The following is a 26,370-nucleotide window of genomic DNA, read 5'->3' as shown; positions in this document are numbered from 1 at the left end:
TTCTCCTGTGTTTGTGGGTCAGGGGGACGGTAGTCAGAGGAGGACAAGACTCCCGCTCCAGAGCTTCAGAGGTCTGCATAGGAGCAGGGACAAAACCAGGCGATAGATTTTCAAAGCTCAACTGCTTTGACACCGAGCAGGAGGGGTAGAATGCATATTGCAGGCACCACAACAGATTCAGGAACTTTGACTGTCAAACCCTCTTCCCTGAAACAACATAGCTCTTCTCACAGAAGCTGTGCTGACCAGAGTCTATACGGGACAGCAATGTTAGCACTCTAGTAGCGTGTGGTCAACATGGATGCTCGTGTTGGAACTGTTTCATCTGGGAACAGGAAAGAAAGTTCTGCCTCCGACACTGAAATCCTCCTGCCCCATCCTTGACAGAGGCAACCCCTTGTCTTGTGCAGACACACGTGTTCCTGGGAAGCAGCCTCCCACTCGCGAATGAAAGCTGTATGTTTTGTCCTCCTGTGTGAGGCTTGCAAAACATATTCCGCAACTATATTCGCTTTACGTTCTAAACCTTAGGCAAACTATGCTGAAGAGGCCACAGAAAATTTAGGGGCCCTGGGCACCAGATACAATCTGCAGTGCCAATCACGAGGGAGAATAGAGCCTCACTAGACTTTGCAAGAGCACAAAATGCACTCGTACTGTTGTTAGCTACATACGTTATTGGCTCCTCACCTAACACAGAATCTTGGAGAAAAGCTTAAAACAACTAAAGATGTAAACATCAACAAGAGTGTCCATATCCTGGGTCATCAAGTGACAAGAGAGTCCATGGATGGATTCTCCAACAATCTTATATTCCACTAATCCACCCCCTTTCCCCTCACTTCTGTAAGTTTCTGTTTTCCCTTAGTCATCTATGCCAAAAGCGTATCCTGAATGCCTTCCCACATGCCTCTGTCACCTTTCCCACAGTCCCTCCATACACCTTACATGCCCATTTCTTCTCACGTTGATGTTTCAGAAGTCCTGAGAGGCTGATTGTCCCAGAAAAGGATCATGCATTCACCTTTAAAAGAACATGTGGATTCAACACGAAAGCGAACTTTAAGATTTCCATCATCCTGTGCTTAGCTACTGTGTATGATGATACCCAAAATGAAGGATTTTGGAGGTCCCAGCAAACTGGGCCCTGGAAACCCAGTAACCCCTTTCCTTGAACTATCTCTGCTTCCATAGGACGAAGTCAGCCTCCAACTAAGCTGTCTTTTGCTTTTACCTCTCCCAGTCTGTCCTGTAGGAAGAATCCCAACACATCCCACACCCATTCACTCTACAACTTTAGAGGCCCAGCTCCAACGCAGACTGGTTATTTCCATGAAGAGAATAAAGCACGTGGATTGATCAATTCATTATGACACCCGAATAAAGTGGATAAACATACACACACACACACACACACACACAAACACAAAGACACACACACACACACAGACACAGAGTCACACATCCTTGAGAATGTTTATTTTTCATTCCATACAATCCACATTTACCCCCTCTTCCTGAATTTTTGTGACTCGATCTCTTTTTCCTTTAGTTCCTGTGCATAAGACCATGCTGAGTACTGCCGTCCTGCATATGGCTGTAACTTTTTAGGAGTTCTGCTGTATTAGGTAAAATCTGATGCTCCATCATATTCAACTCAACAACTGGGAGTCCCCTAGAGAAACACAAACTCATGTTAAAACGCATTTTCTCTGAGCCATACTTTGAAATGTTTCAATTGTGGGGCCCGCTGAGAAAAGGATATCCCTTCCCCATTTGTGATCCCTTAAACTTCCTCCTACCACGTGTTACAAACTGTTCTGCGCAATCCCTGCCCCATTCCCAGTATTGTCTGTGAGGGGAGTCAGCTAACAAGATGCACTGGGCCCTAAAAGCACACACAAGTCTGATGGGGCAACAGCTTAAGGAAATCCATCAATCTAAACAGTCCTTTGTGGTTTGGGGCAAGGATGACCAGGACGCACATTCAGGGAGCCCAATCTCATGGGGTTGGTGGGATGACTGCCGGTGGGGTTGACAGCCGTGGAATCAAGTGCCACAGACTGAACTGAATGATTTTCAGCTTTACTTCTCATTGATTCTGGAAATGGACGATTCTTCACTGGGCTTAAGACTCCACAGCTATCACCCGCTTTGCAGTGCAGTCTCTAACGTGCCTTTTCAGCCCAATGCCATGAACGTCCTGGATTCTGTCACTCTCTGTCTTCCTCTCAAGGAATTTCTACATGTACGAAAGGAGCCTCAATTTCTACATTTCTGAAATGAGCACCCAGGCTCCCTGAATAGGCAGGTGTGTCAACCCCCTTATACTGGGCATCAAACAGCTCCAGTGCCAACTAACGGCTCACCTGACGTCTCTGTTCCCTCTTCAGGTGGCTTCATCCTCTTGTAGTATTGCAGGGGATTGCGCCACAGGTCCTTACATAGGATCTGTCAGGGGACTCAATCGGGAAAGGCCTCATCAGGGCTCAGAAAGGTGACCCAAGCAGCTGGGAACACATGGGGTCATTCCTCATGTTTCCCAGTGAGGACTCACCTCAGCAATCTTGTTAGATCCTGCGAAGTTGTGGTCAGAGAACCAGTTGAAGAAGTTAAGGCTGCTGTTGTGGTGTCTGCGGCGATAGGCCTCCACTTCATAATCCGGATACCACTCAATTGGAGTGGAATGAGAAGCCCTGTATTCTACAGAGACAGGAGTTTTTGTGGGAAGGGGGCTGGATCCCGTTGGCAATGATCCACCCACCATCTTCCTTCCACTACCCATCCTGGGAGCCACCTGTCACCTGTGATGTTCACCAGATATTCCTTGGTAATCACTTTATTCTGGAAGTAGGGGTTACTCCGAAAGAACAACATGATCTTGCAGAGATGAACAGGATGCTTCTCTTCTTCCACCTGTCAGGACAAGGTGGAGAAAGCTTAGATAGGTTTTCGGGTGAGGTGCTCACTCTTGCTTACAGGAATGAATTATTTCCCTTACCCTCCCCCGCTAAACCCTCTAGCCCCAGTCTTCCTGGCCTCACCTCCAGGCTGACCATGTAGCTCAGCATGTCTTCATCTTCGTCAGTGATCAGGGCTGACATCTGGGGGTGGTTTGCAATCTGATTTAGGTCAAAGAGACTTTACACACGATGGAAGGGAAAGCGAGGAGCAACAGGGAAGAAGGCCTAAGAGCACCCAGAGGCTGGGGTAGGGGATTTCTCAGATCTGCTTCCATGTATGATCTCCTTTCGCCTCCCCCTCCCCTTAAACTAAGGCCTCCTGTGTTCACAGAGGGTGTATGATTCTGAGGCTGACTGCACTGACATGGGGAGGCGCGATTTGCAGAGACTTGCTGGTGTCTGAGGAGTGGCAGAATCTGCTTATAGCCGAAGACGCCCAGTCCCAGATCGGACTAGCAAGGGGCAGCAATCACACTCCCTTAAAAATAGCTTCATTCACTGAAAAACCTCTTCCGCTCTGAACTCGCTTCTGCTCTTCAAAAAGATGCCCCAAACGTCTGCTGCTCGGCATCACCAAGGGTTTCTCTGCCGCATGCAGGACAATAGTACCCACGCCTGCTCCGGCTTTCCACAGCCACACTGGTCCGTGGCAACTCCCCTTTGTTCCCCAAAGAGTCACATCGACGCCGAGCTGCCCATCGGTCACTTACACTTCCCCGAGAGCACCTCTCCACTAGAAAGGCCGAAGAAACACTGAGAAGGATACAACATTGGCCCAGAAGCCAGGGACGCTCTGGATGACGGCGCCTCTGCGGTCTAGCTGGGGCTTGCGCCTCCGCTCCATCTTTTCCCGCTGCCGAGAAAAGGCCTTCCTGGCTTGGGCATTAACCGGCTCCAGCTCCACCTGAACGGCCAGCAGCTCCTCCAGTGCAGACTCTGGGGTCATGGGCCCAGGGCCAGGCACAGCCTGCTGTGCCCGCTGGGCCTCCTCCCGCCGCTCCACGAGGCCCTCCTCCTCCGCCACCACCTCCACCTCCGCCACCACCTCCACCTCCGCCATTATGTCATCCAACAGCAGCACCGCCTCCTCCCCCAAAGCCGCCTGCTCACTCTCCACCCCGGCCGCCCCCTCCTGTACAGCCTCCATCCTGAAGGCGGTGCCCTCCTTGGCACTCGCACACACCAAGGCCTGTGCTGCCCGACCCACGCCACAGAAACCCTGCCGCAGCCTCTCTGGCACCCGGTAGGTCAGCGAGCCCTCAGGGCGCATGCGCCGGGCTTCCAGGCGCCCCCTAAGGGACTGCGCGCGAAGGGCCGGGGGGCCGCACCCAGGCCGACTTCCTCCCGTCGTGGCCAGTCAATGGGAGGGCGGTGGGCGTCTCCCTGGGCGGCACAGCCACTGGCGGGCCTGCATCTCCAGCCCCCCCACCCCCCGCCTTCCCTGCCCAAGCCTCCTCCGAGAAGCCCTTGGAGCTTGTGCCGGGTAGCTAGGCATCCGGGCACACGCGGGCTGCGTGGCCTTTGGAATTGTGGGCATGGCAGCCCTGTGCCCTGACATCCTCAGTGTGGCAAGCCATGAACATCTCTATGTGTCATGAACACAGGAAACATCTCTCTTCGTTAGGCAGGCCAGGTAGATGGTACGGAGGTAATACAGCAGATGCAGAGAACTCTCTCTGGTTGCTGGGGCTAGGGCGGCAGGGGTGTCCTGGGGGAAGTGATCGGGGCGGGCACGTGGGAGGAAAGTCGCCTGCCGGTGCTGAGGTGGAATTGATCTGCTGTAGAGGCCAGAGCCCCGGCACACACTCTCACAGGTCGAGGCAAATAGAGGCTCCGAGTACCATGCTTCCTCCCTGAGGATGCTGTACTCCAAGGAGCATTCCAAAGGGCCTCTTGTCCTATGCCCTGGGCACACCAGAGGCCAGCCGCCAGGGTTGGCCATTGTCGGCCTGCGCGCACGCTGTTGTGCGCTGCCTTGACGACCCAGAGGCTCCCGCACCCGCAGCAGCGGTTGCGGTGCCTGTTGGTGGGGCTCTGCAAGCCCAGGGCCGGGGCCTCTGGCTCCCGAGCTCCTGTGCGCAGTTGAGCCTGCTGGGGACCGGAGCCCTTTGGCCAGTGCGGGATCTGCGGGTCCAGCGGAGCTCCTCAGGAAACCTGGGTCCACGTAGGTGTGGGACCAGGTTCACAGCAGGGCGACGCCCGTGGGTCTTGCAGGGAGCGGGTCTGCTGGGGAGCGGGCCCCCAGAGCCTACGGGTGCGGGGCATGGGCTGGGCTGGGCTGGGCTGCGCAGGCCCAGGGTCTGTGGGAGCACCCAGGAGAAAACCGTGTTCAGGCTGGAGGCAATGCTGGAGAGGACGGCCGGGGTACAGAGCAAGGAGGCGGCCTTGGAAGAGGAGGCGGTGCTGAAGGTGGAAGACATCATGGCTGAGGTGGAGGTGGTGGTTGAGGTGGAGCCCGACGTGGGGTGGCAGAAGGAGGGCCAGCGGGCACAGCCTGGCCCTGGACCGAGCACACCGGGGCCGTCAATGGACTCGCTGGAGGTCCTTCACTTGGAGCTGGGCTCCGTGAATGCCCCAGGCCACAGAGCATCTCCGCCTTGTGAGCCAGAGCCATATCCTTGCGGCTGCCGATTTGGGATGGCGGGCAGCAGGGGATAGTCATCGGGCCTCGGGGGGTATGGGGGCTGTTTGCGGGGAGGAGCCAGGTGGGAGGCACGTGGGGTCAGCCAGGAGGCAGGGGATGGGGGACAGCGTGGGAGCCGAGGCCACGTTCCCGCAGCTGTGAGGGCAGCTCGCTTGTAGCAGCCCTGGGAGCACGTGGTAGGGAAGGGGAGCCAGGGCCAGCACTGACAAGGGAGAATCGCGGCGCCAAGGTCCCTTTGCGCACAGCCCAAATTCGAAGGACGCGTTTCCCTGGGAACGTCCCTGGAGGACGGGGAATCTGTATGCCATTACCAGCCATTGAACCACCCCTGCTCTCGGTGCCTGTTTCCAGCAGGCTCACCCCAGAAACACAAGGTGCTTAAGACGGGTTCGCGGCGCATGGGGCTGCCGACCACCTGACGGCGGGCACCAGCTCCGCAGATGCGCATTCATCCAACTGCAGGCGCTGCACTCAAAGGCGTGTAGGCCCTGAGCCTGTATAACTTCCTCTGGACCCACGCAATTCCCTTGGAGAGCGCCAGGCACGACCCTGCTGTGGCTTCTAACTACAAGGCTTCCCTCAGGTGGACAGGCCCACCCCTCAGGGAGACTAGGATAAGAGGACACCACACACCCGGACATCAGCGGAGCATGTCCAGCACCCAGCACACAAAGGCCTCCTGCATCTCAGAAACTCAGAGAAGCAGCCGCCTCACACCACCCCCGGCCCCTCCCGTCCCTCAGCTGCAACCACCTGCCCACTTTTTCTGCCTCCCGTCTCTGGTCAGCCCAGGCCGTCTTGGCCGGGGTCCACCCACTCCAAAAACCACCACAGTTGTGGCGTTGCCTCCTCGCCAGACAGAGATAGAGGGCCAACAATGAAGGGTGACTGGCCAAATGTCTGGGAGATGGCCCTGTTCCACATTGTCTGTGTTCTTGCGAAATTGCAAGGCGTCACGAGGCTTGCCCACCCAATCCTCTGGAGAGTTCTTGCGCAGAGGTAGATTGTTTGGCACACGAGATGTCGGCGTGGGTCGGAAAGCATGCGGAAGTCCTGCTTTGCTACGTGATGGATTTGCAGGTCAGGCTGGGGAGCCTGGGTCTGTGGGAGGAGTCCAGTGTCTGAGTCAGTTTGAGGTCCCCCTGGGGACCAGGGTTGTCTCAGTGGGAGAGCTGGGAAGGGGAAACTCATGGTTCACTACAGCTAGTAGGCCACCTCAGCCCGGCTAGTTGAGATGGTCCCATTGAATCCATCCTCTTTCTCCTTGATCCGGCAGGTGGAGGAACTCAGCCATCCCGGTTACCGGTGGCAGGATGATTTCCTTTCATCCCAACCTTTATTTCCACAGTGAAATCATCATGAAGGAGCACTGTGTTGGCATCCTCGGTAAGGAATGCCTCCCAGCATGGTAGGGGAGCTGGTGTGTGGGAGGGTGGGACTGGCATGAACCTTCCTGACTCCTCTCCCTGCAGGCTACAGGGTGTCTCATTCCACTGCAGTCCAGCGGTTCTGGGATCACGAAGGTCAAGCCTCCAGCTGCAGGCAGTACACCTCCTACCTGAGCTCATTCAGCTGTTTGGCTGAACATGACTGCCCGGGTTTTGGCAGGATTGCTGAGGTGGGGTTCGCCGTGGGGCATCATGGGAAAGGACCTAGCTGGTCATTCCTTGGTCTCTGGGGAATTGGCTTTGAACTGTCACCTGAACTGTCCTGGACCCACTTCTGCAGTCACCTAGATCATCACCCAGGGCCTATGGCTCAATCCATTGCAGTTCTATCCCATGGAGAGAGGGTCAGCCCTAGAGGCGGAACAGAGAGGAGGCCAGGCGAGCAGCCTAGGGCTGGGAAGGGCTGGGAACTGAGAGGCCTTTTGACCTGGATCTGGGCCCCACATGGAGAACCCAAGGATCCGGGAGGAGACTGCAGTGAGCAATCCCAGGCAATCCGTGGGTTGGGGGAGAGAGGCCCATCAGGGACATGTAACACCCACATTTCAGGATCGGGGCACCTTAAGCCACTATGATGCATATGTGGCTAAAGTCAGTGGGTGACAAGCAGGGCTTAAGGGATAGCTGTCTCATCATTACTCGCCAGCTCCCTGCCCTGCGGTAAGACCTGCTACCACCTGGGGCTCATTTTGAGATCAACCAGGGCCCCCTTTTTCTCCACGAGGATGTCCACCTAAGGCCCACCTAGGTGTATGTCCTTTCATAGTGTTTCTCCCAGGCCAGTCATGTTTTGTTTCCATGACCCCGGCTGCCTTGACATGTGTAATCCTCTCTGCCATCCTCACTCCCGCTGCCCTGCCTTCCCATATAAGTTAGTCCACCTCACACGGAATCTGGAGGACCACACTGGGCTCCAGTGTGAGGCAATGTTTTATTTTCTTCAGGTACATGTATTTTAGGGCTACCTCCAGGGCTGGGAATGTGAAGAGATTGCCAAATGGCTGGGGACCTTCAGTGTGTGTCCAGGGAGGGAACCCGGCTGGGAATTAAGGCCCACCTGAGTAATGGTATGGACATCCAGTGTCAGTTATCTTGATAAAGGCCTGCTTTCTTACATCACCTACTATTAATATAAAAGTTAATTCCTTAGAATATTGAAAAAACAAATCTATGTATGAAGAAATATAATTTGTTCATAATTGTATGGAAAAAGCTGCCGACCGATCCATTTTCCATTACAATTCTTATGGGAGACTTGAAGGGTTTAGCAAGTTTTAAGATGCATTTCTATTCGTCTACTCCTGCCAGTTTTTATGATCATTTTTGTAATACAAGGACATGGCCTCTGGAAAGTTTTTGAGGGACTTTCAGCTTCTTTTAGGGTAGATACTTGTAAATTTTGAATTGTTTTCCCCTGCGGTTCTTTTGAGGTTACTCTTTGTACTTTCTTTGGGGGGTGTTAAATTTGTTTTCTTGTTTTGCCCTTGTGGAACTTTCGTTTTCAAGGAATTGTGTGTGTGTGTGTGTGTGTGTGTGTGTGTGTGTGTGTGTTAGATATGGGAGTTAGCCTGTGAGCATGTTTTCGAATATGGATTTTTTTTTTACTTATCAATTTTGGGGGTGTGTGTGTGTGTGTGTGTGTGTGGGTGTGTGTTTGTTTCTTTTCAGTTGGAGTCTCACTGTGTCATCCAGGCTGCAGTCAAGTGGCAAACTCTCAGATCACTGCAACCTCTCCCTCCAGCTTCAAAGGATTCCTCTGCCTGCTGATGCTGCTTTTCCCCCACATGAGGAGAACATGCAGACAGTTATAAAAAATTCTGTGCCTGGGTAGGTATGAAAATATAATTTCAATGAATGGTAAATTTCACAAATACAGTTTCACATTTGTATTTTGCAACATTTTGAAAATTTTAGTTGCTGACACATGAAATTCTGTGTTGACTTTCATGTTAAATGTACACTTTTGAATCAATTTCAACAGTGACAACTAGCGAAGGCCAAGCGTTAGTTCAGGAAGCTGAAAGCAGTCGTTCTGTAAAAAAAACCATATTTATTGAAGGTATATTTAGAGAGATTTTAGAAGGCTTCAGTCAATATTTTTGTTTCTGTTGCTCTGGTGTTTTATCATACAGGGACCAGACTGTAGCATCAGTAGCTACAGTTACAAGGCTACCAAAGACTCAGTGCTATAGAAATTATTATTGTGGAAATTGGCAGCCTGGCTGTCTGTTTGAGGAGACTAGAGGACTTAGGAGTTTCCACCCAAAGTACAAGGGCCTGGTTTAGTGGGTGGCCTTCTTTTGCTGAAGTAGATAAGATCCAGGAGAAGGGTGGATTCACTGTAGTAGCCAGGGCTTTGAGACTGGTAAAGCTTATTTGTCTCCTAGTGCCATTGCCAGATATTGGTCTGTGCATAAAGGCACTTCCCGGACTCGCTGACTCCTGTAAATTCAAATGTAGAATTTAGATTTAAATCCCTATTCCAACTTCTTAAACTTAGATCTAATAGGTGGGTAATAAAATATGTATTCAGAAGAAAGGGAGACGTCAGGTAGGTATATAAGCAAATCATCCTGGTCAAATACCTTCAAAAATATTACTACAAAAAATTACTGAAGATTAAACCTTAAAAAAGTTATTTTAATTGGAGAAACAGAAAAAGGTTGGAGTCATTTTAAACCCTGAGGTGTAAAGGTACTGTTATTAGATTACAGGAATTATATACAATGAATAATTTGTGGGAAGAGCAGCATACTATCTCTTTAGTATGGCTAGAGATTCATAAGCCGTGTAAGAAAACTCAGAGATTGAGAAGAAAATGTTTTCAGGGATTTTGTTCTGTTATGAAAGACTTTTAAAATGGTTTCCTACTGATCAAGGATTCACTTATATTTATCACTGAGGCATATGCTATATACCCTTCTATATAGGGATGAAGTTATAGTTTCTATCATGTAGATACAAAAACATGTGACTCTGTACCACATTTGCATTAGAGCCTTTGGCATGATTAATGAAGCAAACGGTGGAACTGTCTACGTCAGGTTACAGGTGGGCACAGCTGGAAGCTTCCGTCCCTTGCACTTTAACATTTCTGCATTCTCATCTGTCTCTCCTGGAAAGAAAACGGACTATAACTATCCTAAAGGACATATGTTACATGAAGACACTAAGTATTGAGATAAGACCATGAGTTGTCTTATCAGTGTCTTGGCATTACATTTATATGTATAACTTATACAAAAAATCCAGTTTATTTTATCACGATTACATATTACATCCCACATTTATGTATTTTATTATCTTTCCAGTGACTGTTTTGTTTTGTTTTGTTTTGTTTTGTTTTGAAATCTCGTTCCACTCTGTCACTCAGTCTGGAATGCAGTGGCCTGATCTCAGCTCACTGCAACCTCCATCTCTTGGGTTCAAGGATTTTAAAAATTAGTAAAGAATTTTCAATTGAGTTAGCAGAAGTAAAAATAAACTTAAGTGGAAATAGAACAACAAAATTGTAAACACTATTTCTCAGCAATTCATAGATTATCATACTAGGAATTGAAATGTACTTAGAACTCAATGATACCGCCAATATTAAAGATTAAATCTGTGAGTAGCAAGAAAAGTGATATTACAATAGGAGTTTACAGACAAATATTTCTCTAATAACTTGAAAATTAATGTACTAGATATTTCAATAAAGAATTAGAAAAGAAACAACAGAATCAATTCTGAAAAACTAAAGTGTGGGAATAATGATGTAGACAAAATTAGTAAAACATACAAAGCTAACCTTTGCTTGTTGGAGAAATATAATAAGTGATGCAACCGTCAGTCAAGTTTAGAAAAAAAGGGAGAAAACATAGATAAAACTAAGAATTTAAAAGGTACACAACCATAGATACAGCATAGATTAAGAAGCTAATAAGGAAATATCGTTAACACCTTAACCTACAAATTTGAAAACTTAGGTCAAATAGACAGATATTTATAATCTGTCTATATATATAGACATATATATCGCTTTCTATATATATTTTCATATTTATACATAATTTTTATATTTGTATCTTACATTTATATATATAATATATAAACATAAGCTATGTATATAGCTTAGTAAAATTGATACAAGAAGACATATATAATCTGTATAGTCTCATAAATGTTCAAGGAAATAAAGGATTCTTCCTAGAGATAAAACGCTAGGCTCAGATTTTTTTCCCCAGGCAGAGCATTTCAATATATATGAAGAATTCTATAGAATAAAAAAGGGAAAATCCTAAACTCATTGTGTGAAGCAAGCAGAACTTTGACGCCAACAAGCCATAAACTGAGTGTAGAAAAAGATATGAAAATTAAGGCCATTCTCATTCCTGAAGCAAATCGTAAAATCCCAAATGTAACAAGATTTATGTGGATTCTTTGAGGGTTAGAAGGAAATTTCCTTCTGCCAGATCCTGCTACTCTGGGACAACCCACACACAAATTTATGTTTTGAGATTTTCTGTAATACCCATGCAATATGGAACTGGCTTGACAATCTGTGTGATAGCCAGCCTGTGGCCATGACTTCTCAGGGACACAAATCTTTTCTGTTTGCCTCCTTGTTCTGCTCAGCTCCAAGAGAACTTTGACCAAAGTTCCTTGAGCTTGGAAATAGGAATGGGTTTGCTTCTGTTTCACCCTTACTGTGAAGATACAGTCCGGTGGAATCCAGATCCACTGGGAGAGAGTCGGCTATTAAACTCTTTTCATGAGTAGTCCCTAGGCCTTGACTGGAGTCTTTCTTGAGATATGAGGCTAATAGTTCCTTCTTGGTCCACCACTTTTTGATATAATTAATGCTTCTTCTATTGGGAATTTTTAATTGTTTGGGAAGTGACATGGTTTGGTGTGTCTCCATTCAAATCTCAGCTTCAATTGTATCTCCCAGAATTCCCTCGTGTTGCGGGTGGGACCCAGGGGGAGGTAATTGAATCATGGGGGTCGGTCTTTCTCATGCTATTCTTGTGACAGTGAAGAAGTCTCACGGGATCTGATGGGTTTTTCAGGGGTTTCTGCCTCAGGTTCTTCCTCATTCTCTCTTGGCATTGCCATGTAAGAAGTGCCTTTATTCGTATACCATGATTCTGAGGCCTCCACAGCCATGTGGAACTGTCAGTCCAATTAAACCTCCTTTTATTCCCAGTTTCAGGTATGTCTTCTTCAGCAGCGTGAAAATGAACTAAGACAGGAGGTTTGGTCCAAATAACCTTGGCTTCCATGATAGAAGATAGAAGTTGCTGAAATGTTTAATCTTTTCTGTGGCAACCTTTTGCAGTGGGTCTTATTTTTCTCATTTTTTTTTTTCTTGTTCTCTTCACCTTTGTTTCTCACAGGGTACTCTCGCTCTGTAGACCAGGCTGGAGCGCAGTGGCAGGATCTCAGCTCAACACATCCTCCGCCTCCCAGGTTCAGCCTCTGCAGTAGCTGGGATTACAAGCATGCATCACCACGCTCAGCTAATGTTTTGTATTTTTAGTAGAAGCCAGGCTTCACCATGTTGGCCAGGCTGCTCTCCTACTACAGATCTCAGGTGACCCGCCCGACTCAGCTTCCCAAAATCCAAAGTGCTGGGAATACAGGTGTGAGCCACCGAGCCCAGCCAACTCCAGTATTTTTTACCTAAGCCAGTGGACGAGTGGAGTTGCCTTTATTTTTTTTTTTTCTTTTTTCAGTCATGGTCTCGCTGTGTCATCCAGGCTGGAGTGCAGTAGTCTGATCTTGGCTTACTATACAATCTCTGCCACCCATGTTCAGGTGGTTCTCCTGCCTCAGCCTCCCAAGTAGCTGGGACCACAGGAAAGTGCCACTAGGTCTGGCTAATTTTTGTATTTTTGGTAGAGACAGCTTTTTGCCATGTTGCCCATGCTGGTCTCCAACTCCTGACCTCAAGTGACCCACCAACCTCGGCCTCCCAAAATGTAGAAATTACAACAAGAGCCACGAAGCCTGGCCTGGAGTTGTGGCTTTTTGACATAAGAAATCTGTGGAGGGAAAAGCTTGGTTTGTGGGAGCACCTGAGCTCAGTTTGGCTCAAAGGTTTGGGATACCTATTATTGAGTGGCAGTGATGGTATGTTGTTAATGTACAATATGTTCCTGTATATAGCATACGTCTATGCTCATCAGATATTTTCAGGTAAAAAAAAGATAGTCTTTCCAGTAGTTTGAGCCATTATAGCAATTTCCACCAGGGGATTTCAAAGTCCAATTCCAGTTGTGGGCAACAGTGATTAACATAATGGTAATTAATGAGAAGAGATTTTGAGACGTCCAGCCACGTTTCCATGTCAGTGCCTTGTTTGCAGTATTATGAAGAAAGAGTGCATTGGACTAGATACTAAGAAAAACATTGAATTATTTTTCTTGCCTCTATAACATCAAAGGACAATTAGAGATATAGAAACTATGGAACATTTCACAGCATGGCTTGACATTTCACTGAACTTTTATCCTTTTAACCATGTACAAAGTTTGTTACCTATGCAAAGGTAGGACTGCAAAAGGAAGACAGAGGTGGAGTCAGAGGTCACAATCCACAGCAAGGTGACACTCTTGTTGATCGCACCTTGAAAGCCAAATTAGAGCGAGAATTAACTTTCCGGTTGCCGTAAGAGAACAAGGAGAATGAAGCTACCAGCAGTTAACAGTATTGGATTAATTGAAATGAAGGTGGACAGAGTTTTTTGGCTTTCCATCAAATTGAGTAAAGAAAAGGTAACCGCTTATCTAATTTCACACACATACAATTATGGATTAATTAAAAGATTACACAACCCATATATTATGGGTTTCTCATATAAGTGTATATATACATGGGCAAACTCACAGTGTGCCAGTATGTGTCTATATCCAAATATATACAAATCCATGTCCAACAGTTAGCAAGTGAGAAATTCTCTTCCATTTCACCATTCCCTTTCCTAGAATTTTTTCATAAATATAATTTTTCCATATATTTGAAGCCTACTCTCTGGAGGCATGTAATGCATGCATGCAGTAAACCTGTGCGATATCACAATGTTGGTGTCAGAGAAAACTATAACACCGATGTTATAAAAGATTAATTGTGAGGAGAAAGTTATGCTTCGCATTACTACAAATACACAAGTATGATTTCATCCAAAGCTGAAATCAGTCAATATAATTTGTTTTTAATGTTTTATTTAAAATCCTTAATTTCAACAGGATTACTCAAGAAAAATAACGTTATTGGTATTAAATAATGTTGATGTATTCCCTTTAATTGTTGATTATTTAAAATGTCAGTAAAATAGTAAATGGCACTGTACAATGTAGTTTCATGAAGCATTCTTTATAGTTTTCATAAAATTGATAGTCTCCATGGAATATTTTAAGACTGAGGAAGTTCCATATATCATTTGATTGTACTTTCACTTTATTACTTGCTTGCATGTCATAACTGATGGAAATAAAACTATGTATATTTACAAATATGAAAAACATGGATTTTTGTTTACGTTTTCTAGTGAGACACAGTTACCAACAATTTTATCTATATAGGAAAATTTTTACAAACCCAAAGTTCTAATGTTTCTTTTCTTTGAAGTTTCGTATTTCAGTCTAGGTATGTAATGGAATTGGCTGTGATCATTCTTTGATTTCACTGTTATTTGTGAGTTTCTGATATGCTTTTAGGAATGAATAGAGTTTAACGCTTGCTTTCTTCTTCTTCCTCTACCTTTGGACCTGTATATGCGATGTCTGCAGTAATGTGCAGTGTTATCTGACATACGGTTGCTGAAAGATACAAGCATATATAGAATTCTTCGTTTCAGTGAATCTTTAGGAACAGACAAGTAACCTGAGAGATAATTACGGTATGAATGTAAGCAAGCAGTTTATCATAGAGGTACAATAAGGGTGAAAATAAATTTAAAAATACATGCCTCATCCAAAACATGAGGTAGTAAAAATGAAAAATTTAAGTTGGCATAAAGAACACTTTAAAAGTTCTGATTCTTTCTGGTGAGAGCAAGGAGCTCAGAAACCATGAGAAAGTCCTTCAAAGCTGCATGTTGGATTTGCAGGTCAGGATGGAAAGCCTGGGTCTGGGGGAGGGTGCTAAGGTCCTGGTCAGGTTGAGGTCCTTCTGGGGCTCAGGTGTGTCTCAGCGGGAAAGCTGGGAAGGGGAAACGCATGCTTCACCCCGGCTAGAATGCCACCTCAGCCCACCTAGATGAAATTGCCCCTTCACAGCCCTGTTTCTCCTTCTTGGACAGGCAGGTGGAGGAACTCGGCCACCCTGAATACAAGGGGTAGGAAGAAGTTTGCCTTTCATCACAACATTTACTTCGGAAACAAAGTGACGACTAAGGAGTATTGCGTTGGCATCCTCCCTGAGGAGTAGAGGGGGTAGTACCTCGGAAGCTGGGCCTGGCGTGCGCCTTCCTGACTCGTCTCCCTCCAGGATACAGGGCGACTGGCTCCACTGCAGTCCAGTGGTTCTAGGGTCATGCAGGTGAAAGCCCGAGTTTCCCGCAGGTCACTGCCTGAGCTTCTTCAGCTGGTTGTCTGACTGTGAGGGCCCAGGTTACGGCACGATTGCTGAGGTGGGGCAGCTATGGGGCATCATGGCAAAGGACCTTCTTCGACATTCCTTGGCATCGGAGGAATTGGCTTTGAACCAGAACCTGACCTGTCACGACCAATTTGCCCAGTCCACCAGATCATCAGCCAGGGCCTGTGGCTCTATATTCTGCAGCACTACCCAAGGGAGTTAGGCCCTCAGAGAGGGAACAGAGAAGAGGCCAGGGAAGCAGCCCAGGGCTGGGGGTTGACAGGCCTGTGGGTCCTGGAGTTAGGACACACATAGAGAAGCCAAGGCTCAGGGAGGAGACTGCAGTAAGGAAACTCAGGCCATCATGGGCTGGTGGAGAAATGCCCATCAGGGAACTGTGGTACCCACATTTCACGATGGGGGAACCGTAATCTGCTTAATAGGCATAAGTAGCTAAGGTCAATGGGTGGGAAGCCAGGGTCAAGAGATAGCTGCCTCATCATCCCTTGCTAGCTACTTCCCTGTCCTGAGGCTTGCTTCTACCTGGGGTTCAGTTTGGGCTCAACCAGGGATCTCTCACCCTCCACACAGATGCCCACCTGAGGCCTCTCTAGGTCTGCGTCCTCCCAGAATGACTCTCCCAGGCCTGCTAAGTACCGTTTGGATGACACCACACTCCACTGACATGCTTGGTTCCCTCCGCCATCCTCATTCACCCAGCAACTCCCCACCCCAAAAAAGGCAGGCCACCGCACAGGGAATCTGGAGGACCACACAGGGCTCACAGGGGAGGAAATGTGAAGAGATGGCAAAACAGAACAGGACATTCCGTGTGTTTCCAGAAGGCAATCTGGCTGGATATTAAGGCCCACCTCAGTATTGGTGAGGACACCCAGTGTCTCTTGGCCCTGAGCTTGTGCACACAAACACGCACATTGTCTAAACGGCATTGACATCACTACTACCTGAGTCATCCTCAGATTCTATACAACCCCTGTAAAAATATCAATGACACATTCTTCTTAGAAAAACAATCTGGGAATCCCAAATTTGCTATGAAATGGCAGAAGATCCTGAAAACCCAGAGCAATCCAGTAAAAAGCACAAAGCTGGAGCCACCACACTACCTAACTTCATGATATACTACTACAAAACTTTTTGTACCAAAATACAATAGCACTGGCAGAAAAGCAGAGACTAGAGCTTAGGAAAAACAACAGGAGCCCAGAACTAAGTCACTGCATTTGCAGCTCACAGCCTTTTCCCAAAGAAGCAAGAACGACCAATGCAAAATCAAGTATCTTCTATAAACTAGGTTGGGGAAATCTGAATAGCCACACAAAGGATTTTACAAGTGGATTATTTATCACCAAACTCCAGTGTCAGATGTGAAACGATAAAAATAGCAGAAGAGATCACAAGGAAGAAGCTCCATGGCGTCCGTGTGTGCAATGATGGTCTCAAAGTGACTGCAAGAACACAGTAAACACCATCAAAAATAGAGAATGGAATCATATCAAACTAAAGTGCTTCACCACACCATAGAAAACTCAACATACAGAAGGGGCATCCTACAGGATGGGAGCAATGATTGGATCACCATACATCTGTTCATGGGGGAATAGTCACAGTACATAAGGAACTCCCAACAACTCAATAGCATGAAAACAAATGGGCGAAGGCTGCGAAGACTCATTTGTGAAACTGAGACATACAGTTGCCCAGAAGACACACTAAAAATTCCTCATTATCCCCAATCCATCACGAAAATGCAAATCAAAAACACAATGAGATTTCTTCTCACTTCAGTCAGAATGCATATTATCCGAAAGACAAACAAACAAAAAAAAAAAAAAGAAAGAAAAGAAAACCCTAATCTCTGGTGAGGAGGCAGAGAAAACGAATTCCCTGCTCACTTTTGGGGAGAATGTAAATTAGTGCTGGCATTAAAGAAGCTTTATGGCTCTTATTTAAGTATAAACAGCCTTCAGAAATCTACAAGTAGAACCACCCACTATATGATCCAGCAAATCAGAATACCCGGGCACGCCCGCCAGTACACAGATCAGTATGTTGAAGCGGTGCGCGCACCCATGCAATTATTGCTGCACTCATTACATTTTTGCTGTAGCCAAAATGCGGAAGCAACCTGAGTGTCCCTCCATTGATAAGTGGATTAAAAAATGGGGCAAAAACGCATATGCGCAACGTAAATATGCGCTGCAATAAGAAATCAGGAAATCCTGCCAGTTGTGAGAATGTGTGGGAATCTGCTGAATGTGTGCATGCCATTCTGTTAAGTGACATAAGCCAGGTATCAGAAAGGAAAATAGCACATGATCTCATTCTTATATGAAATCAAAAAAGCGGACTTCACAGAAGTAGTGACTCCAATGACTGCGGTGAAGAGGGTGCACTGACGAGATGCTGGATGAAGAACTCATACTTCTAGTTATAAAGGAGGAATAGGTTAAAAATATTTTCTTCAGCATGCTCACTATAACTAGTGGTAACATATTCTTTCTCTAAAAATATTCGAATACAGTGCAGGTCAAGTTTTTTCACAACAAAAATGACAACTATGTGAGGTCACACATATGTTGATTGGCTGGATGTATCCAATGCATAATGTATATGACCTGTTGAACATCACGCCTTAAGTTGTAAATATGTATCATTTCATATGACATTTTTTAAACAAACATACAATTTTTAAAATGCCTTAACAAAATAAATGCAAATAAAATATTTTATTATAAAGCAGTGCTTTTCTTTTCTAGCAAAGTCTTTTTCATGACACAGGAAAGAATGCAAGCCGTTTCGTAACTTGAGAAATAAATACATATGTGTACATGTATATATATACGTATATACATGTATATACGTATATAAATGTGCATATATACGTATATACATGTATATACGTATATATGTGTGTACATAGGTATTCTTATATAGGTATGTATATATATATATATATATATATATATATATATATGAAAATCCCAATGAATGCTGATGATGAGTTGAAAGATAGAAATTCCAGGCACAGAGGCTATAGTCCATGAATTGAAACCTTCAGTGCATGTTTCAAAACAAGACGTGAGGAGGAGGAAGAAAAAAGCAAAAAACACAAAGCCATGGCAGGGCCATGGGTCACACCTGTCATCCCAGCACTTTGATAAGCTGAGGTGGGAGGATTGCCTGCACTCAGGAGTTCCAGATGAGCCTGGGGCAACATGGACCCACATTCAAAAAGTAAGTATTTAGTTAATTAATACATAGCTTGGAGGGGTGGCATGCACCTGTACTGCCAGGTGTGTGAGAGTCTGAGTTGACAGGATCACATGGGTGTGTGGTGCCTGGGCTGCAGTGGGCTGAGATCGTGGGGCTGCTGTCCAACCTAGAAGACAGAGTAAGACCCATTCTCGGAAAACAAACAAAAAAACAGTCACATTAGGTAAATTAAAACTATGTAGTGTGAGGAGAATCAAAATAAACGAAACATCATTAGAGCCTACGCGATGTGATGAAGGAAACCAGCTTTCACATAATAACAGCCCCGGCTGGGGAGAACAATGAGAAAGGGCAGAGAGAACCCTGTAAATAATACCACGCCAAATTCCCCAAATGAGTTAAAACACATAAAAGTACGAAGAGTGCTTCTTTTCAATTCAATGCCCTTGAATTCAGAATTAGAAAGGAAACCCAGATAGAGAATAGAAAGATAGACGATACAGATGGAGAGAGTGTGGTGGGGAAGCAAGGGAAGGATGAAAGGGGTGTAAAGGAAGGAAAAGAAAAAAGGAAGGGAGAGAGAGTGACAGATGTTCAAAGACACAGATACAAAGTCTACAATGGTTGTAGAGATAGGCATGTGCAAATTGTCGCAGGGAGTGTGGAAAAATATCGGAACCACGGAGACACAGGTGGAGTCAGAGAAAATATACAAACCCGCACAGAGAAATAAACATACGCAACCACAAACACACACGTGCTACTTTAAACACGAAAAGACACCAAGTCCCTGTCGGTACAAATCACAGATGTGCTTCCGAGTTACTGAGGCACGGTGCAAATTTGTCAGTGCCCTTAGCATCTGTGGCCCACGTGCACGGATATTCAGTGGAAGAAGCATTACACAGCCTGTATAATTCAGCACGATCTGTGATAATACCAGAAGAAGGGATCTCATGTGAAATCACTAGACTGAATTGCACGTAGGATTCAAGGAAGAAGCCCAGTCTGCTGCATTCACTCGGTGGGGTGGCAATATGGCTGAGCCACCAACCCGTGGCACGCCCATCCATCGTAGACAGTTCCTGGTTTGCTACCTGCCTTGGAAAAAGCTCCTCCCCTACCACCACTTTAAAACAGGCTAGCTCCAAAACTAGCCCTGGCATCTATTTACGGTCATTTTCTTATCTATTTACCTCCTAGAAAAATCATTGCAAGACCCTTTCCTCAACATTTTCCTATGCCTTAAATTTGGGGCAACACGTTTTAAGACGACCTCGTTATAGGCAAGTCCCCAGACGTTTCCTAATCTGAGTTGCCCAGAGTGCACACACCAATCTGTTGCCCCATTGCCGCTATAGGGATACCGTACTGGACCACAGTGTCTTTGACATGCACACAGTAGGATACAGGGCAGCTTGAGGGGGCCAAAGGGTTCCGACTGTTTTCAGAATAATTTGCTTAGAACACCTGTTTCTCCTGTGTTTGTGGGTCAGGGGGACGGTAGTCAGAGGAGGACAAGACTCCCGCTCCAGAGCTTCAGAGGTCTGCATAGGAGCAGGGACAAAACCGGGCGATAGATTTTCAAAGCTCAACTGCTTTGACACCGAGCAGGAGGGGTAGAATGCATATTGCAGGCACCACAACAGATTCAGGAACTTTGACTGTCAAACCCTCTTCCCTGAAACAACATAGCTCTTCTCACAGAAGCTGTGCTGACCAGAGTCTATACGGGACAGCAATGTTAGCACTCTAGTAGCGTGTGGTCAACATGGATGCTCGTGTTGGAACTGTTTCATCTGGGAACAGGAAAGAAAGTTCTGCCTCCGACACTGAAATCCTCCTGCCCCATCCTTGACAGAGGCAACCCCTTGTCTTGTGCAGACACACGTGTTCCTGGGAAGCAGCCTCCCACTCGCGAATGAAAGCTGTATGTTTTGTCCTCCTGTGTGAGGCTTGCAAAACATATTCCGCAACTATATTCGCTTTACGTTCTAAACCTTAGGCAAACTATGCTGAAGAGGCCACAGAAAATTTAGGGGCCCTGGGCTCCAGATACAATCTGCAGTGCCAATCACGAGGGAGAATAGAGCCTCACTAGACTTTGCAAGAGCACAAAATGCACTCGTACTGTTGTTAGCTACATACGTTATTGGCTCCTCACCTAACACAGAATCTTGGAGAAAAGCTTAAAACAACTAAAGATGTAAACATCAACAAGAGTGTCCATATCCTGGGTCATCAAGTGACAAGAGAGTCCATGGATGGATTCTCCAACAATCTTATATTCCACTAATCCACCCCCTTTCCCCTCACTTCTGTAAGTTTCTGTTTTCCCTTAGTCATCTCTGCCAAAAGCGTATCCTGAATGCCTTCCCACATGCCTCTGTCACCTTTCCCACAGTCCCTCCATACACCTTACATGCCCATTTCTTCTCACGTTGATGTTTCAGAAGTCCTGAGAGGCTGATTGTCCCAGAAAAGGATCATGCATTCACCTTTAAAAGAACATGTGGATTCAACACGGAAGCGAACTTTAAGATTTCCATCATCCTGTGCTTAGCTACTGTGTATGATGATACCCAAAATGAAGGATTTTGGAGGTCCCAGCAAACTGGGCCCTGGAAACCCAGTAACCCCTTTCCTTGAACTATCTCTGCTTCCACAGGACGAAGTCAGCCTCCAACTAAGCTGTCTTTTGCTTTTACCTCTCCCACTCTGTCCTGTAGGAAGAATCCCAACACATCCCACACCCATTCACTCTACAACTTTAGAGGCCCAGCTCCAACGCAGACTGGTTATTTCCATTAAGAGAATAAAGCACGTGGATTGATCAATTCATTATGACACCCGAATAAAGTGGATAAACATACACACACACACACACACACACACACACACAAAGACACACACACACACACACACAGACACAGAGTCACACATCCTTGAGAATGTTTATTTTTCATTCCATACAATCCACATTTACCCCCTCTTCCTGAATTTTTGTGACTCGATCTCTTTTTCCTTTAGTTCCTGTGCATAAGACCATGCTGAGTACTGCCGTCCTGCATATGGCTGTAACTTTTTAGGAGTTCTGCTGTATTAGGTAAAATCTGATGCTCCATCATATTCAACTCAACAACTGGGAGTCCCCTAGAGAAACACAAACTCATGTTAAAACGCATTTTCTCTGAGCCATACTTTGAAATGTTTCAATTGTGGGGCCCGCTGAGAAAAGGATATCCCTTCCCCATTTGTGATCCCTTAAACTTCCTCCTACCACGTGTTACAAACTGTTCTGCGCAATCCCTGCCCCATTCCCAGTATTGTCTGTGAGGGGAGTCAGCTAACAAGATGCACTGGGCCCTAAAAGCACACACAAGTCTGATGGGGCAACAGCTTAAGGAAATCCATCAATCTAAACAGTCCTTTGTGGTTTGGGGCAAGGATGACCAGGACGCACATTCAGGGAGCCCAATCTCATGGGGTTGGTGGGATGACTGCCGGTGGGGTTGACAGCCGTGGAATCAAGTGCCACAGACTGAACTGAATGATTTTCAGCTTTACTTCTCATTGATTCTGGAAATGGACGATTCTTCACTGGGCTTAAGACTCCACAGCTATCACCCGCTTTGCAGTGCAGTCTCTAACGTGCCTTTTCAGCCCAATGCCATGAACGTCCTGGATTCTGTCACTCTGTCTTCCTCTCAAGGAATTTCTACATGTACGAAAGGAGCCTCAGTTTCTACATTTCTGAAATGAGCACCCAGGCTCCCTGAATAGGCAGGTGTGTCAACCCCCTTATACTGCGCATCAAACAGCTCCAGTGCCAACTAACGGCTCACCTGACGTCTCTGTTCCCTCTTCAGGTGGCTTCATCCTCTTGTAGTATTGCAGGGGATTGCGCCACAGGTCCTTACATAGGATCTGTCAGGGGACTCAATCGGGAAAGGCCTCATCAGGGCTCAGAAAGGTGACCCAAGCAGCTGGGAACACACGGGGTCATTCCTCATGTTTCCCAGTGAGGACTCACCTCAGCAATCTTGTTAGATCCTGCGAAGTTGTGGTCAGAGAACCAGTTGAAGAAGTTAAGGCTGCTGTTGTGGTGTCTGCGGCGATAGGCCTCCACTTCATAATCCGGATACCACTCAATTGGAGTGGAATGAGAAGCCCTGTATTCTACAGAGACAGGAGTTTTTGTGGGAAGGGGGCTGGATCCCGTTGGCAATGATCCACCCACCATCTTCCTTCCACTACCCATCCTGGGAGCCACCTGTCACCTGTGATGTTCACCAGATATTCCTTGGTAATCACTTTATTCTGGAAGTAGGGGTTACTCCGAAAGAACAACATGATCTTGCAGAGATGAACAGGATGCTTCTCTTCTCCCACCTGTCAGGACAAGGTGGAGAAAGCTTAGATAGGTTTTCGGGTGAGGTGCTCACTCTTGCTTACAGGAATGAATTATTTCCCTTACCCTCCCCCGCTAAACCCTCTAGCCCCAGTCTTCCTGGCCTCACCTCCAGGCTGACCATGTAGCTCAGCATGTCTTCATCTTCGTCAGTGATCAGGGCTGACATCTGGGGGTGGTTTGCAATCTGATTTAGGTCAAAGAGACTTTACACACGATGGAAGGGAAAGCGAGGAGCAACAGGGAAGAAGGCCTAAGAGCACCCAGAGGCTGGGGTAGGGGATTTCTCAGATCTGCTTCCATGTATGATCTCCTTTCGCCTCCCCGTCCCCGTAAACTAAGGCCTCCTGTGTTCACAGAGGGTGTATGATTCTGAGGCTGACTGCACTGACATGGGGAGGCGCGATTTGCAGAGACTTGCTGGTGTCTGAGGAGTGGCAGAATCTGCTTATAGCCGAAGACGCCCAGTCCCAGATCGGACTAGCAAGGGGCAGCAATCACACTCCCTTAAAAATAGCTTCATTCACTGAAAAACCTCTTCCGCTCTGAACTCGCTTCTGCTCTTCAAAAAGATGCCCCAAACGTCTGCTGCTCGGCATCACCAAGGGTTTCTCTGCCGCATGCAGGACAATAGTACCCACGCCTGCTCCGGCTTTCCACAGCCACACTGGTCCGTGGCAACTCCCCTTTGTTCCCCAAAGAGTCACATCGACGCCGAGCTGCCCATCGGTCACTTACACTTCCCCGAGAGCACCTCTCCACTAGAAAGGCCGAAGAAACACTGAGAAGGATACAACATTGGCCCAGAAGCCAGGGACGCTCTGGATGACGGCGCCTCTGCGGTCTAGGTGGGGCTTGCGCCTCCGCTCCATCTTTTCCCGCTGCCGAGAAAAGGCCTTCCTGGCTTGGGCATTAACCGGCTCCAGCTCCACCTGAACGGCCAGCAGCTCCTCCGGTGCAGACTCTGGGGTCATGGGCCCAGGGCCAGGCACAGCCTGCTGTGCCCGCTGGGCCTCCTCCCGCCGCTCCACGAGGCCCTCCTCCTCCGCCACCACCTCCACCTCCGCCATTATGTCATCCAACAGCAGCACCGCCTCCTCCCCCAAAGCCGCCTGCTCACTCTCCACCCCGGCCGCCCCCTCCTGCACAGCCTCCATCCTGAAGGCGGTGCCCTCCTTGGCACTCGCACACACCAAGGCCTGTGCTGCCCGACCCACGCCACAGAAACCCTGCCGCAGCCTCTCTGGCACCCGGTAGGTCAGCGAGCCCTCAGGGCGCATGCGCCGGGCTTCCAGGCGCCCCCTAAGGGACTGCGCGCGAAGGGCCGGGGGGCCGCACCCAGGCCGACTTCCTCCCGTCGTGGCCAATCAATGGGAGGGCGGTGGGCGTCTCCCTGGGCGGCACAGCCACTGGCGGGCCTGCATCTCCAGCCCCCCCACCCCCCTGCCTTCCCTGCCCAAGCCTCCTCCGAGAAGCCCTTGGAGCTTGTGCCGGGTAGCTAGGCATCCGGGCACACGCGGGCTGCGTGGCCTTTGGAATTGTGGGCATGGCAGCCCTGTGCCCTGACATCCTCAGTGTGGCAAGCCATGAACATCTCTATGTGTCATGAACACAGGAAACATCTCTCTTCGTTAGGCAGGCCAGGTAGATGGTACGGAGGTAATACAGCAGATGCAGAGAACTCTCTCTGGTTGCTGGGGCTAGGGCGGCAGGGGTGTCCTGGGGGAAGTGATCGGGGCGGGCACGTGGGAGGAAAGTCGCCTGCCGGTGCTGAGGTGGAATTGATCTGCTGTAGAGGCCAGAGCCCCGGCACACACTCTCACAGGTCGAGGCAAATAGAGGCTCCGAGTACCATGCTTCCTCCCTGAGGATGCTGTACTCCAAGGAGCATTCCAAAGGGCCTCTTGTCCTATGCCCTGGGCACACCAGAGGCCAGCCGCCAGGTTGGCCATTGTCGGCCTGCGCGCACGCTGTTGTGCGCTGCCTTGACGACCCAGAGGCTCCCGCACCCGCAGCAGCGGTTGCGGTGCCTGTTGGTGGGGCTCTGCAAGCCCAGGGCCGGGGCCTCTGGCTCCCGAGCTCCTGTGCGCAGTTGAGCCTGCTGGGGACCGGAGCCCTTTGGCCAGTGCGGGATCTGCGGGTCCAGCGGACGTCCTCAGGAAACCTGGGTCCACGTAGGTGTGGGACCAGGTTCACAGCAGGGCGACGCGTGGGTCTTGCAGGGAGCGGGTCTGCTGGGGAGCGGGCCCCCAGAGCCTACGGGTGCGGGGCATGGGCTGGGCTGGGCTGGGCTGCGCAGGCCCAGGGTCTGTGGGAGCACCCAGGAGAAAACCGTGTTCAGGCTGGAGGCAATGCTGGAGAGGACGGCCGGGGTACAGAGCAAGGAGGCGGCCTTGGAAGAGGAGGCGGTGCTGAAGGTGGAAGACATCATGGCTGAGGTGGAGGTGGTGGTTGAGGTGGAGCCCGACGTGGGGTGGCAGAAGGAGGGCCAGCGGGCACAGCCTGGCCCTGGACCGAGCACACCGGGGCCGTCAATGGACTCGCTGGAGGTCCTTCACTTGGAGCTGGGCTCCGTGAATGCCCCAGGCCACAGAGCATCTCCGCCTTGTGAGCCAGAGCCATATCCTTGCGGCTGCCGATTTGGGATGGCGGGCAGCAGGGGATAGTCATCGGGCCTCGGGGGGTATGGGGGCTGTTTGGGGGGAGGAGCCAGGTGGGAGGCACGTGGGGTCAGCCAGGAGGCAGGGGATGGGGGACAGCGTGGGAGCCGAGGCCACGTTCCCGCAGCTGTGAGGGCAGCTCGCTTGTAGCAGCCCTGGGAGCACGTGGTAGGGAAGGGGAGCCAGGGCCAGCACTGACAAGGGAGAATCGCGGCGCCAAGGTCCCTTTGCGCACAGCCCAAATTCGAAGGACGCGTTTCCCTGGGAACGTCCCTGGAGGACGGGGAATCTGTATGCCATTACCAGCCATTGAACCACCCCTGCTCTCGGTGCCTGTTTCCAGCAGGCTCACCCCAGAAACACAAGGTGCTTAAGACGGGTTCGCGGCGCATGGGGCTGCCGACCACCTGACGGCGGGCACCAGCTCCGCAGATGCGCATTCATC

General features: G+C 48.4%; 2 protein-coding genes and 1 long non-coding RNA gene across 8 annotated transcripts; 1 reads left to right on the top strand and 2 right to left on the bottom strand.

Moving 5' to 3' along the window:
* Positions 1 to 1,464: 1,464 nt before the first annotated feature.
* Positions 1,465 to 4,279, bottom strand: TSPY9 (testis specific protein Y-linked 9). 2 transcript variants are annotated; one of them, XM_047442744.1, is made up of 6 exons: positions 3,730 to 4,279; positions 3,045 to 3,122; positions 2,805 to 2,916; positions 2,558 to 2,703; positions 2,370 to 2,462; positions 1,465 to 1,675 (listed from the first exon to the last, which is right to left on the bottom strand). In XM_047442744.1, exons 1-5 carry the CDS (start codon positions 4,231 to 4,233, stop codon positions 2,400 to 2,402), a joined length of 903 nt encoding a protein of 300 aa, XP_047298700.1. In that variant the 5' UTR covers positions 4,234 to 4,279; the 3' UTR covers positions 1,465 to 1,675; positions 2,370 to 2,399. The 2 variants fall into 2 exon arrangements, with proteins under 2 accessions (XP_047298700.1, NP_001382992.1); NM_001396063.1 differs by having other exon boundaries at positions 2,370 to 2,451.
* A 2,612-nt stretch (positions 4,280 to 6,891) lies between these two features.
* Positions 6,892 to 12,493, top strand: FAM197Y4 (family with sequence similarity 197 Y-linked member 4). Its single transcript, NR_145470.1, has 4 exons — positions 6,892 to 6,993; positions 7,080 to 7,225; positions 8,724 to 8,882; positions 12,434 to 12,493. It is a non-coding gene; the product is annotated as a family with sequence similarity 197 Y-linked member 4 (long non-coding RNA).
* Positions 21,797 to 24,591, bottom strand: TSPY1 (testis specific protein Y-linked 1). Of its 5 annotated transcripts, NM_001320964.2 has the most exons (7): positions 24,459 to 24,591; positions 24,060 to 24,197; positions 23,375 to 23,452; positions 23,135 to 23,246; positions 22,888 to 23,033; positions 22,700 to 22,781; positions 21,797 to 22,007 (listed from the first exon to the last, which is right to left on the bottom strand). In NM_001320964.2, the coding sequence occupies exons 1-7, from the start codon at positions 24,543 to 24,545 to the stop codon at positions 21,985 to 21,987; spliced, it is 666 nt and encodes a 221-aa protein (NP_001307893.1). In that variant the 5' UTR covers positions 24,546 to 24,591; the 3' UTR covers positions 21,797 to 21,984. The 5 variants fall into 5 exon arrangements, 4 of the variants coding, with proteins under 4 accessions (NP_001307893.1, NP_001184171.1, NP_003299.2 ...); XR_001756005.2 differs by having other exon boundaries at positions 22,700 to 22,792; positions 22,888 to 23,026; positions 24,060 to 24,591; NM_001197242.2 differs by having other exon boundaries at positions 22,700 to 22,792; positions 24,060 to 24,591.

This window comes from Homo sapiens, chromosome Y (assembly GCF_000001405.40).
Source record: "Homo sapiens chromosome Y, GRCh38.p14 Primary Assembly".
Classification (NCBI taxonomy): Eukaryota; Metazoa; Chordata; class Mammalia; order Primates; family Hominidae; genus Homo; species Homo sapiens.
The sequence above is the reverse complement of the archived record's forward strand: the minus strand, read 5'-3'. Positions and strand labels throughout refer to the sequence as shown.

What these genes read in the sequence shown, in the direction of transcription:
- TSPY9 (NM_001396063.1), bottom strand. Translation starts at nt 4,233, where the DNA reads ATGCGCCCTGAGGGCTCGCTGACCTACCGGGTGCCAGAGAGGCTGCGG. An exon ending in CTGGCTTCTGGGCCAATGTT is followed by an intron (nt 3,123 to 3,729) that starts GTATCCTTCTCA and finishes GACCTAAATCAG; the next exon opens with ATTGCAAACCACCCCCAGAT. An exon ending in ATATCTGGTGAACATCACAG is followed by an intron (nt 2,704 to 2,804) that starts GTGACAGGTGGC and finishes CTGTCTCTGTAG; the next exon opens with AATACAGGGCTTCTCATTCC.
- TSPY1 (NM_003308.4), bottom strand. Translation starts at nt 24,545, where the DNA reads ATGCGCCCTGAGGGCTCGCTGACCTACCGGGTGCCAGAGAGGCTGCGG. An exon ending in ATATCTGGTGAACATCACAG is followed by an intron (nt 23,034 to 23,134) that starts GTGACAGGTGGC and finishes CTGTCTCTGTAG; the next exon opens with AATACAGGGCTTCTCATTCC. An exon ending in AGAGGGAACAGAGACGTCAG is followed by an intron (nt 22,008 to 22,699) that starts GTGAGCCGTTAG and finishes GTGTTTCTCTAG; the next exon opens with GGGACTCCCAGTTGTTGAGT.